This window comes from Homo sapiens, chromosome 6 (genome assembly GCF_000001405.40).
Source record: "Homo sapiens chromosome 6, GRCh38.p14 Primary Assembly".
NCBI classification, from domain to species: domain Eukaryota; kingdom Metazoa; phylum Chordata; class Mammalia; order Primates; family Hominidae; genus Homo; species Homo sapiens.
Window position 1 is genome coordinate 138,158,937 of NC_000006.12, and position 13,209 is coordinate 138,172,145.

Genomic DNA, 13,209 nt, shown 5'->3' on the forward strand with positions numbered 1-13,209 from the left:
CACTTCTTGTGCCTCAGCCTCTTGAGTAGCTGGGATTACAGGCATGTGCCACCACACCCGGCTAATTTTTGTATTTTTAGTAGAGGCAGGGGGGTTCTCACCATGTTGGCCAGGCTGGTCTCCAACTCCTGACCTCAGGCGATCCACCTGCCTTGGCATCTCAAAGTGCTGGGATTACAGGTGTGAGCCACTGCCCCCGACACCACTTTTCATATTATTCAATATTTCTCTCCCACATTATTCTTTTTAAATTAAAAACAATTTTTTTTTTTAGTAGAGATGAGGTCTTGCCATGTTGCCCAGGCTGCTCTCAAACTCCTCGGCTGAACCAATCTGCCTGCCTCAGCCTCCGAAAGTGCTGGGATTACAGGCATGAGCCAACATGCCTAGTCCCCCACATTATTCTCAAAGGCTATATAATATGATGCTTTATGAATATATCATGGGTTATCTATCCATATCCTTGTTGCATATTTAGTTTTCTCTTTTTTTAGAATTGAAAGACACACTGAAATGCTTGTAGAAAGATCCTTATCCATTTCCATAATCACTTTCTTAGGATGAATTCCCAGAAGTGGAATTGTTAGGTCAAAGCTATACCTATGCCACATACACATCCAGGCTCCCTCCCTCCAGGAATGTAGTACCAAGTTACACTCTGACCAGCACCCAAGACATGAGAGGACCTTGTTGTTCAGCTCCTTCAATAACATTTAAAAAATCTCTCAGTCAATTTGATTAATAGAAAATAGCATCTTATTTAAAAGTTTGTTCTCTTTATTAGGCACTTGAACATTTTTTATAAGTTTATGGGGTCATATGTATTCTCTCCTCTGTAAACTGACTTTATATATATTGGCTTTTTTAAAAAAGAAGGAGCATTTGTTTTTTAATTCTTTGTTAAAGCTTTTTTTTTTTAACAAAGCTATTCAAACTTTATATGTCTGACATTAATATAAACATTTTCCTAGTTTGCAGCTTAAACGAAATTGTTTTTAATTGTAAAACTAGTAAATACTTTAAAATAGATTCAAAAATATAAATCCACATATAATTAAGATTTAGAGGTATCATCTTTTCTTCCTTCAATCCATCCCTCAGAGTATCATTTGCTTTTTAATTTTGTATGAAACTTTTGGCATAAAGGTCTTAAATATTCAAATAGTCAAATCTATTGACCTTTTTTCCTTCAGTTTCTGCCTTAGTTTGTTAGAAATAATCTTAATGCATTAAGATAAGTATATTCACTTATGCTTTCTTCTAAACTTTTCATCATTTAATTCTTAAATTTAATTTTTAATACATTTGTAATTTATTTTGCTACACGATATAAAGTTGTGATCTATATATTTTTCCAAATAGTTAACAATTTTCTTTAACCCAAGTACATTATCTGCTGCGGCGTTTTTACTTTTTTTTTTTTAAACCTTTCTTTAAATGATGGCTTCACTGGGCGTGAGGGTAGCGGTAGAAGCATCCTTGGGGGCTGGGACTTTGTAGGTTTTGCCTCCTCAGTACCAAGAGCGCCGAAGGAGTAGTCTGACATCCCCATGTGTTGGACACCCTCCAATGGCAGTCCCTCCCCTGGCTGACCCCCTACACCTCGGATTTCGGACTGCTCCTCTCAGCCTCCTCCCTGGGCCCTTGCTCCTGTACCCATGATTTGAGAATTAGGGGGGCCGTCACTCCCTCTCTTGTGCAACCTTTGTCAAACTCGAGGCATCAACAACTCCTATATTTACCACCCTTCAAATACTGGCATCCCTCCCAGAGCTCTATCCTGAGTTCCTGTCCATAAAAAAAATCTACAAGTATCTCATTATCATTTCAATCTGAACATGTTCAAAACTGAACTCATATATCCCCCCTAATCCAAACCCTTTTTATCTTCTCTTCTTTAAAGAATGGGGCCACCATCCTCCCAATTTCCTAAACAAGTAACCTGGAAGCCATCCCATATACACCGTCTCTCCCCTATTGTGTCATTAAATCCTATTGTTTCTACCCTTCAATATCTCTTGACATACTTTCCTTTATTCCCCTTCTACCCACCCTTGGCCTAATTGGTTTCTAGATTCCTGCAGAACCTTTGTTCTCCCAGCTGCCAGTCTGCCCCTCTGCAGTCCATCATCCTCACTTCCACCACAGGAACATTTTCAAAGAAAAAGGAAACACGGGGTGCCCTGTCACACTGCCTTCCCCACCGCCCGCGTGAGTCTCCTGGGGCTCCCCCTTTTCACCCCAATGAGAAGCCCTCTGCTGCGGCGGCCCTTGTGCACCACATTTTTCACAGGGCAGCAATTCAGCGCAAGAGAGGATGGGAAGGGGAGGAGATAGGGGTTTTTAGAAGGGGCTTTGGATTCAGGACGTGTTTGGAGTCTAACTCTTGTTGGTCTGGGAAGTAACCCAGCCTCTCTGGGCCTGGTTTCCTTGGGCATATCAAGCTCTACCCCAGCCCCACCGCAGCCCACCGCCCGCCGCGTGTTGAAAGCTTGACTGGAGTTTCCCTGCAGGCAGGGGCACAGTGTGTGCAACGCTGCATCGCCCGAGCCTGGCACAGGGAGTGGCCCAAAAAAGCTGTTAGTGACTGAACGCAAGAATTTTCCGGTTAGCAGACGACGGGATGCAGCGGGCGCGGCGCCTGCACCACGCTGGGGGTCCCGGTGTCCGGGCTGGGCCGCTCCGACTCCGCCCGCGGCCACCGTCGGCTCAGGGGGTGCGAAGACCGCGGCGAGGCCCCTCCCCGCCTGCCTCCCGCCGCCCGCCGCGGACCAGGCGCTCCCTCCCGGCGGCTGGCGAGCCAGCTCCGGACATCCGTCCCCACCTTTCCGCTAAGCGCGGCGCCCGCGGGGCCTGCCTCGGCGGTCAGGTCAGCGGCCTCCAGCCTCACTCTCCGGCCCCAGCCCGCAGCCGCCGCCGAGCGGAGCGCACCTGACCCAGGCGGGCGGGGCGGGGCGGCGGGCGGGGCGCGGGGCTGACGTGGCCCGCGGCATGGAGCGGGCGTGATTCATCAGCATCCGCGCCGGGGCGGCATGGGGGCGCGCGCGGCGGCCGCCTAGGCGCCCAGGGCCAGGCAGCGGCGGCTTCCCCGGCCCGGCTCGCCCGCGCTTCTCTCCCTGTGGGCGGCGGCCCGGCGCCTGGAAGGTCAAGATGGAAGAAATCCTGAGGAAGCTGCAGAAGGAGGCGTCCGGGAGCAAGTACAAAGCCATCAAGGAGAGCTGCACCTGGGCCCTGGGTAAGCGTCCGGCACCTGCTCGCCGCGGCGGGAGGGCCGCGCGGCCGGGGCTGAACCCGCGCCTCCGCGCGTGGGGCTTTCGCGGAGCGTCGGTCATGGGTGCCGTTCTGGCGATTGCGAGAGTCGCCTCGGGAAATTGATGTGGGATTTGAGAGTCTTGGCTCGGGCGTGGACATCAGCCGCCTCCCCTCCGGTCTCTTTCACTCTCCGAAACCTTCCTCGGGAACCGCTGTCCTCCCTGCCTGGCGGCCCCCTTCTCCTGGTCCCGGCGCTGGGGACGATGCTTCCCCATCGCCGAGTTAGGCAGGACCCGGAGCCGGTGCGAATCCTGGGGCCTGACAGCGAAGCGCCTCTGGGGAAAAGGGAAGTTAAACCAACAACCCCGATGTCGAATCCTTGGCGAGTGGAACCAGGAAGGAAAGGCTTGTTTAATTTGATTTTCCTGATAGAGGTCAGCTTGCTTAGTGTTAGCTTTCCTGGTTATTGCACATGAAAAATAACATACGGGCGGGGATCATGTTACCTCTGCAATTCTGTTGTGGTCTGCCCTTCAGACAGGTGGGATTTTAGGGCTGTGAGCTGTGCTAGCGTTGAAGTAAGTTCCAGGGAGCAAATTTGTGTTTCTCATCAGACTCAGGTTGCAGAACTCAGCAGCGGAAAAAAACGGAAAGACATTTCAGTTAGGCGGGGTTTGGGCAATCAAAATGGTCAGGATGGTAATGCAAATAGATCAGAAGCATACTTTGGGTGATGGTGATGCTTTTTAGAAAGGAAAGGCCAAGAAGAAGCCAGCGCAGCTAGCTCTATGGGCTCCTCTCTCTGCCTTGCTGGAGCCTGATGTGATGCCTCAGTTGCCACTCAATTGAAAAATGAAATTGACTCCCTTTCCCTTGCAACCAAGAACCATCACTGTCTGTCATGACACTGTGTGTGCTTTGATGCAGCCTGAGATAGAGAAGAGCCTTTAGCAGGTTTTCCACTAAATGTAAAATTTTGAGAGTGGTTTAGGTGACTCTTAATATGTAGATGGTCTTAATTCACATATGTTTGGGTGTGTGTACAGGTAATTATAGCAGCATCTTTTTTTAAACCTGTGCCTATCATCACAAAATTGTCTAGAATATTGTCTAGGAAGTTTGTCTTGTAGGTAGAACCAGCACTTGACCATTCTAGCTTACTGTTAAAGAAAAATGGACCAGAAATCTGAGAGAACAGCAAGGCTCTTAAAGCCACAGTACTATTTTTGCCGTTGCCATTGTCATTCAGCAGCGTGATTCGAAGCTAGATTCCAAAATGCCTCTAATGAAGGGTCACAGATGGCTGGGTAACATGATAAAGCAGGGCCCAATTGTGCTTTAAACATGCCATTCCTAGTATTCGTTATTATTTTGCTGCAAATTAAGCAGATTTAGATAAACAGGGAGGAGGAGATTAATCTAGTATTTTAATAAGTTTAAATACTGACATCAACATCTTATTAAGTGAAACCACAACGTTGCTGAGTTTAGGTCCTTTAAAGCCACTGGGGAGGCTGAGCATTGAGGCAGGTAAATTTTTCGAGTCAAATCTGAAAGAAACCAGCCTGAGTGGATGTACTTCCTTTCCCAGTGATTGTTCTGTCATTAGCAAGACAAGACAGAAGTGCATGAAATAGTTAAATAATAGTGCAGGGCATTCATTGTGCAGTTGGATTGGGCAAACCAGGAAAACAAGTCAAAGAAGGGAGGATAAATGTGTTGTCCATGGATTGGGGGAGAATTGGTGTGAGCTGGTGGGGCTTTTGAAGTAGATTTCACTTGAAGAATGGGGAAGCTATGGGTTCCTTCTTTCCGTCGCTTCTTTATTTAGGAAACATTTATTAAGACCTCCCTGGTAATGAGCAATGGGATATATGGATGAATAAAATGTTCCCTGTAAGGAATTTGTTAGAAGGGCATGCTGGAGACATGAACAAAGGCCTATAGGGATAGGTTTTCCTGTTGCCTTTCCCACTCCAGTCCATTTCCACTGCCCGTCACTGTTTAGATTACAAAACACCTGTCACTCTTCAACCCCCCAATTTATTTCTAGATTAATGTGTAAATTCCTCAGAATGCTCTTCAGAATCTAGCCCCAGCCTCTGTTCTTGTCACTCCCCAACCAAGATTCAACAATCTAGTGGCAGTCAGCTGCAGCACTTTGTTGAACATGCTGTGTGGCACACTTCTCTCTTTGCCTTTGCTCTTGCTAGTCCTTCTGTAGGGAATTCCCTTTTCAGACTTGGCAAGGTCCATCTTGTTTAGGAAACATTCCCTGAGCTCCTCAATAGGATAAGTTGTTTGTCTGGGTTCAGATCCTTGCCTTGATGACTCTCTTAGAGTACCTACTATTTTGGATAATAGTTGATTGTGTGCACAGGTAGGCTCTTACGGGCAGTGTAATTGACAAATATGTTGGGTGCAAGAGACAAAAAAGCTAGTTTAAGCTGAGCTATACAAAACGGGATTTATTTACTCCTTTAACTAAAATACCCCTTACAAGAATAGCTGTGATTTAGGAATTAGACACTGTTTCAGGGATCTTGTCCTGCTCTTTGTGGGTTGACTGACATGCTCTGCGTGGGTCTCCACAGTTTTGGGCTCATGAATCAACACATTTAGACCATCTCATGAAAAGAGGCAACAATAAACTTAGACCATCTCAGGAAAACACGTCTCATCCCCCACTTAGACCATCATGTGATGGGGAGGTCAACCGCTACTTAGGTCATCATGGGAAAGGGGGGTTACCTCTCACGTAGACCCTCATGAGAGAGGGGTCATCCCCCACTTAGACCCTCATAGGAGCAAGGGGCCATCCCCTACTTAGACCATCATGGGAGAGAGGGGTCATCCTCACTTAGACCCTCATGGGAGAGAGGAAGCATCCCCCACTGAGACCCTCCTAGGAGAGAGAGGTCATCCCCCTCTGAGACCCTCATGAGAGAGAGGGGGCATCCCCGTCTGAGACCCTCATGAGAGAGAGAGGGCATCCCCCTCTGAGACCATTGTGCGAGACAGGGGTCATCCCCCACTTAGACCCTCATGGGAGAGAGGGGATATCCCCCTCTGAGACCCTCATGGGAGAGAGATCATCCTTGATTTAGACCCTCATAAGAGAGAGGGGCATCCGACACTGAGACCCTTGTGAGAGACAGGGATCATCCCCCTCTGAGACCCTCATAGGAGCAAGGGGTCATCCCCTACTTAGACCATCATGGGAGAGAGGGGTCATCCTCACTTAGACGCTCATGGGAGAGAGGGTCATTCCCCACTGAGACCCTCATGGGAGAGAGGGGGTCATCCCCCTCTGAGACCCACATGGGGGAGAGGGGCATCTCCCTCTGAGACCCTCATGAGAGAGAGGGGTCATCCCTCACTGAGACTGAGACCCTTATGGGAGGGAGGAGTCATTCCCCACTGAGACCCTCATGGGAGAGAGGGGTCATTTTCCTCTGAGACCCTCATGGGAGAGGGGTCATCCCTTACTTAGACCCTCAGGAGAGAGAGGGTCACTCCCCACTGAGACACTCATGAGAGACTGAGACTGAGACCCCCATAGGAGAGAGGGTCATCCGACTCTGAGACCCTCAAAGGAGAGAGGCATCATTCCTCACTCAGATCATTTTGAGATAGGTGATCATCACCATATTTAGACCATATCAAGAAAGCTGGACTTCTCCAGTCACTCCTGCCTGATCCTTGGTTTCCCTTGTTCTCTTTGTCCTGATGGTTCATGAGTGTATCCTTGAACCAGTCCTCTAGTCAAAGAATGAAGTAGAATAACTGGTTTAGGCCTAGGCTACAAGTTCCACTGAAATCCAGAGCTGGGGAAAAATGGCTTCCTGGAAGTAAAATTAAGATGCTTCTTCAAAAGCCAGGGGAATGGATACTCGTCAATCAAAACAATACATGTCAGCAGAGTAGTGAGCTCTTTAGCACAGGGACTGCCGTTTATGCTTCTTTGGTTGCTTCTGCACCTATAGTGGAAGGCAGATGTTCAATAAGTAAATCAATACTTTAACTACTTGTTTGAGTTTTAAATAATATTCATCTTTTTCTATTTATAAGAGTTATATATGTTCACTTTAGAATGTTGCAAATAATGGAACAACATAAAGAAAAAATTAAAATAATCTTCAGTCTCCCTATCCGGAGATAACACTGTTGACATTTTGGAGTCTTTCCCTTTGCAAAAGGTCATACCGCATATGGCATATTGTCATGTGTTTTTTAACTTTAGCATCTTCTTCTACTCTGTCTACTTTGTCATGACACTTCTCTGAAAATCAGTGTTAATGGCTGCAGAATAACTAATAAGGCATATGTATGTATCTTCTCTTTATTTAGTGTTATCTGGTTGGTTGTTTTTGTTAGTGAGGAATGGCGTGGCCAGGGAGTAGAAAGGAATGAATTGGATGAAGGGTTGGCTTGGGGAAAGGCAGAAAGAACTTCAGAAACTGGCAGTCCTGGGGGCTTGCAAGCTAGGCTGTGGTGGGATGAAATAGAATTGCAGAACAGGAGAGCTGGAAGCAACCAAGCCCTACTTTTAGTATTTTATATCTATCAGGGGCCTTATACAGAATGAATGTGGAAAATGGAGGAGCGGGGAAAGAAACTAGAGGTACGAAGGCCAAGTAGGGGAAGAGGGAACATCTATCCAACCAGCACCCTTCTCTCTATCTACCCATCTGCTTTTTCTTCCAGCCACAGGTGATTACTTCACAGCCAAACTTCTTAAAAAGTGTAGAAATTGTATCTGTGTTCTCACCTTCTACTCTGTCTTCATCTTTTTGTCATCTGCCTTTCACCTCCATCATCCCACCAACTCACAGTTACTGAAGAACAGTAACATACAGCCATTCGGCTGGCAGACCATTCTCATTCCCATCTCAGAGGTCCTCCTGGTGACACTGGACACAACTGGGCACCTGCTTTACCTTGACTTCTATGATCACACCCTACCAGCTCCATCTTGGTTCTTGAGCCATTCTGTCTCCTTTGCTAGTGCCAGATTCTGTCCCCAGCTGTAAATATTTGAGTTTCTCAAGGGTTAGCTTTGAGCCCTCATCTCTTACTCCCAGCTCTTCTGGAGTTGAACACACACATACCCACAGCTTCAGCTCCATTTCTGAGAATGTGATGCCCGTGTTTATATCACTAGTCGACACCAGTGCTCTGAAACGCACACCCCGCAACTTAGCTACCTGCTGAACATCTCCACCTGAATGGCTTGCAGGCACTCAGCTCAACAAGGCTCAAAGTGACTGTGTGTTCTTCCCCACCTCTACCTCACTGCCCAACCTCACTCACCTCTGGTGTTTCTAAATGATCAGTTGATGTCATCACCTGTCCAGTTGCATTGACCTGAAATCTAGAGTCATCCTTGATACATTTCTGTAATTTGCCATCTTACCTAGTCCGTCACCCAAGCTCTGCTCATTTTTACCTCCTAAATATATGTCAAGCCTGTTCACTTCTTTCTACCTCTGTTGCCAGCTCTCCAGAATAAGCTGCCTTCTCTTTTTATCTGAACTTCTGCAACACCCTCTTAACTGCTCCTTCCTTGTCTGCTCTAGTTCTTTTTCCCAAGTAGTGTCACCTTGGAAACCCCAATCTTTTCATGACATGCCATGTTAAAACACTGAATAGCATCCCATTAGGATAAAAACAAAAGTCCTTGGTGTGTTCTGTCCAGCCGTACATGGCCTGGCTCCTACCTGCCCCACAGCCTTGTGCTATGCCACCCTCATGAGACAGAGGGTCATCCCCCTCTGAGACCCTCATGAGAGAGAGGGGTCCTTGCTCTCTGAATTTCAGCCACACTGATCTTCTTTCAGTTACTCAGCTACACTGTGCTCCCTCTTACTTCATTAATTCAGCAAATATTTAGTGAGTACCTACTATGTGCCAGGTACTGTTCCAAGTGTTAGGGATAACATGGTGAGCAAAACATGCAAAAAGATCCAAGAGTTTACAGATTCTTGGAGAGATGACAGCCAGTAATCAAGATAAATAAATAAAATACACATGACAGCAAAGAGAGTGATAAGAGCTAAGAAAGGGAAAACATAAAATAGTGAAGAAGATAGGAGGTACTTGGAATAAAGAGGGAGTTGCCATTTAAATAGGGTATTCACGGAAAACCTTACTAAAAGGGAGGCTCCTAGTTGGGAAAACATCTGATGGCTTTGGGAAAGAGCAAGGAGCCAGGGGGCTGGAGCGACGGGAGAGAAGTAGGAAGTGAGGACCAGATCATGAAAGTCCTTGTTGGGCTCTCTAAGGATGAGATGGGGAGTCATTTGGGGTGGAGGAAATGCTCTCATCTGGGTCTTGACAGGGTCTCTCAGGATACTGTGTTAAGCAGAGACTGCAGCTTCAGGGGCAAGCCCAAAAGCTAAAAGCCTAGAACAGAGGCTGGTACAGTCATCCAAGTGAGAGAAGGTGACAGCTTGGACCAAAGTGGCAGGACAGAGTCAGGGAAGATGTTGAGATTCTCCAAGCATTTCAAACTTATTATTCCCTCCACTCGGAGTGACCTCTCCTTATCTACTTTAAATAAATCATTTGTGGTCTCATTACCCCCAGCAGGAAGCCCTGACCTCACAGTCCACAGTAGGACCTCCTGTTCCACTTTTGCCTAATTCCCTGTATTTTCCTTCCTGGCGTTTATCATGCTTTGAAATGAGAATGTGCACTCCATGAATTCATGGATCGTGTCTGTTCTCACCACTGGGTCCCTAGCCCAGGACCTGGTTCAGTGTTTAGTGAGAGATCAAAGAAGGGAGACAGGAATTGGCACTGGCGTCTAAGGACTGTGTCAGGCCCTTTATGATCATGATCCTATCAGCTCCTCACAAGCATCCCGGGAGGAAGGTGTCATTGTCTTCTTTCTAAAGATGAGGGAACTGAAACTTACAGAGGATAAGTGACCTGCCCCCATCCCACAGTGTCACAAGCTGGAGTGGAGCTGGGAGTGGAACCTGGTTCTCTTTGCTTTCCTTCTTGATGCTTCCATGGTGCCCTCTCCCCAGCTACCATTCTGTCCTGGGTGCTTACAGCAAAGCTGCAGGCCATTTTCTCCTTGACCTTTGGATGCTCTTCGCCTTGGGTTCCACACTGATCCCATGTGCCTGGGAGTCTCACTGCACTTAGAGCTGTAGTTTCATGGTGGCTGCTGTGTGACAGCCTTTTCTCTTTTCCTTTTCTTCTAGCTTGCTCTTAGCCTTATAGAGCTGGGCACTGTTACCCAGCCTTGGTTGACTATATATCCCTCTGTCCTGCGGGAAAACCATGCTGATCTGGTTGTTCACTGTCACTGCCTTTCCTTGGGGAGCAGCATCGGCTCATCCTGGGTGCCAGTCCCTGCTGTGCTAACTGGTGGGCTGCACTGGCCTGTGTGGCCTTTGAGCTGCTTCCTGTACCTGCATCTCAGGGCTTCCCTTTCTTGTCATCCTGTCTCATCTTAAGCATTGACTTCAGTCCTTCATCTTCCTCCATTGGCCTTGTCTTCACAGAACCAAGAACCCTGCTGAACTCATCTTTCTGTTTTGCTGATTAATTGTCTTTCTGAAATCCACTCTTTTGCCCCACTGGCCATATCAAGCCCAGATCCTATCAGGCCTGTTCTTAGCCTTGAGTCTCTGATATATGTATATATTTCACATTTGTTATTCTCTCTGATCTCTGAGCAAGGTGGGAAGAGACATTTCTCCTTCCCCAATGAAAATAGTTCAGATAGACAGGGCTTGTTGACTCCAAGGAGTGAAGAAAGGGGTCAACACAATTTCAGCTGCAAGACTGGAGACAAGTTGGAAGGATTGAAGTAGTACAGTTTTTTGGGGAAGAGACTGGTGAGCTTTTCATTATCTCTAAAATTGGAGGCAGCAATAGTGTGAAAAATCCACAAACAATGGCAAAGTATTGAACATCCAGGTTGGATTAACAAGATTTGGATGTGAGCCTTCCAATCAATATCCTAACTATACTGTAATTTTTTAAAAAAAGTTTAATCTACTGTGTCACAAATGTGTATGAGAATAATAAGATGTTGTGTAAGTGCTTTGTGAACTTGAAAGTCTTTCACAAGTATGAATTATTGTGTAAGGATATTGAAACAGTATTTTCAAGGAAACAGCTTTTCTTTATTTTTATTACAAGAATATTGTATCTTAGTTGTAACTAGATTCAGTGGTTCAGACTAGGAATTTAACTATTCGTTCTTTATCTGTTTAGGGAAATGTGCCCTAACTTTTAACTTTCCCCTCCTAGTTTGCAAGGTCCAGGGAAATCTCTGGGGCTCTCAAGGGAAAAGGATTTTAAAATATGAAGGACTTGCATGCAGATAGTTGAGAATTGACTAGTTTATAATTAGAGGAATTCCTGAAAAGAGAAACTAACAGAGAAATTCATGTACAATGTATATTCTCAGTGTTTAAATATTTATTTTAACTTTGTAATTTTTCTTTTGCAGAAACTCTAGGTGGTCTGGATACCATTGTCAAGATCCCTCCACATGTACTGAGGTAGGAGATGGACATTGTATAATATCACAGAAGTCAATATTACCCACTGAAGGCCCAGATAACCACATTGGTTTACAGTGTGTCTTAGTTTGTTTTGTGCTGCTATAACAGAATACTACAGACTGGGTGATTTATAATGAACAGAGATTTATTAGTTCATGGTTCTGGAGGCTGAGAAGTCCAAGATCAAGGGGCCACATCTAGCAAGGGCCTTCTTGCTGCGTCATCCCAAAGGTAGAAGGACAAAAAGAGGGTGGAACAGAGAAGAGAGAAGGGGACTGAATGCACCCTTTTCTAACAAAGCCCCACTCCTGTGATAACAGCATTCATCCATTCATGGAGCAGAGCCCTCATGGCCAGATCACCTCTCATTAGGCCTGACCTCCCAATACTGTTGCATTGGGGATTACGTTTCCAACACTTACTTTTGGTGGGGACACGTTCATATGATAGCATAGCATTTTACTTGCTGACTAAAGGCTTTCTTGCACCCATGAGCTGGGATATTTCATGAGGTTACCATGATGTGAACCTGATTGCATTCGCTCCCCCTGTCTGTAGAGGGAATGAAATCAGTGACCTAAAGGAACCAGCCATGGAAGTCCATGGTAAAAGGATCAAATTGGTCAAGGAGAGACATGATCAAAACTTATGTGAAGGAGTAGAAAGAAAATTGCACTCCCTCTGATGGGCATGCACCCCTACACTAGGTAGTGTGGATTTAAGCTCTGATTGGCAACCCTGGCTGGACATCATCTGACTGGTTGTGAAGTCCACAGCCACATGTAGCAGCCCAGAGATAGGAAGCCTATTTCCCCACCTTCTTCCCCTCCCACTATAACTTCCCCCAACCCTCACTGGGAGAGAAATGCCTGCCTCTGTAGAAAAATTGGAAAGAACAATACAACAAAAAAGAAAGTTGTCCATAACTACATCACCTAAGGATAACCACTGATAACAGTTTAATAGATTTTCTTAAATGTCTTTTTCTATACACATATATTTTTATAAATTAATATAAAATTTTATTCACGACTTTGTTGCCTGCTTGATTTTTTTTTACTCAAAACCATATGAAGAATATTTTCTAATGCCAGTATATGTTCTTCAAATTAAAATGTTACATATACTTCCATTATATGGCTGTAGCATAATTCATTTAGCAGTTTTCCTATTGTTTAATAACACTTGGGCTGTTTCCAGGGTTTTCTTTGAGATTATAAAGTATATTGGACTATAACCCTTTGTTGAGTATGGTTTCTATGTTCTCAGGATACTGTGATTAGATATTTTCTCTCTTTTTAAGTAGATTGAACAAAATTTATGTTTCTATCTTTTTAAAAAATTCATTACTTTTCCTGTAGTAACTGCTACAGGTTTACATATTGTAAGGGAATCCATGTTTTAAACTAAGTGCATTTTTGTGTGTGCA

The 13,209-nt window shown here is 45.6% G+C and overlaps 1 protein-coding gene across 2 annotated transcripts in view, besides 3 other annotated features; it reads left to right on the forward strand.

Annotated features, from left to right (window-relative positions):
* Window positions 2,812-3,782: an enhancer, noted in NCBI's record as "OCT4-NANOG-H3K27ac-H3K4me1 hESC enhancer chr6:138482885-138483855 (GRCh37/hg19 assembly coordinates)". NCBI's record gives its function as "activates a minimal SCP1, AML or CMV promoter by ChIP-STARR-seq in naive and primed H9 embryonic stem cells {active_cell/tissue: H9 hESC(naive and primed)}" and the evidence as "EXISTENCE:reporter gene assay evidence [ECO:0000049][PMID:30033119]".
* Window positions 2,876-3,105: a silencer, noted in NCBI's record as "silent region_17594". NCBI's record gives its function as "represses an Ori minimal core promoter by ATAC-STARR-seq in GM12878 lymphoblastoid cells {active_cell/tissue: GM12878}" and the evidence as "EXISTENCE:reporter gene assay evidence [ECO:0000049][PMID:35858748]".
* ARFGEF3 (ARFGEF family member 3) overlaps window positions 3,003-13,209 on the forward strand; it is a 182,725-nt gene continuing 172,518 nt past the window's right edge. For both annotated transcript variants that reach the window (XR_001743524.2, NM_020340.5), the window contains exons 1-2: window positions 3,003-3,235; window positions 11,726-11,777. Coding sequence is in view for 1 of the 2 variants with exons in the window: in NM_020340.5 (NP_065073.3) it covers window positions 3,151-3,235; window positions 11,726-11,777 (137 nt within the window). In the remaining variant the exon portion in view is untranslated. The remainder of the gene's footprint in view (window positions 3,236-11,725; window positions 11,778-13,209) is intronic.
* Window positions 12,011-12,180: an enhancer, noted in NCBI's record as "experimental_90516 CRE fragment used in MPRA reporter constructs". NCBI's record gives its function as "activates a minimal promoter by MPRAs in K562 erythroleukemia cells, with activity observed for the introgressed 6:138492169 variant allele {active_cell/tissue: K562}" and the evidence as "EXISTENCE:reporter gene assay evidence [ECO:0000049][PMID:34662402]".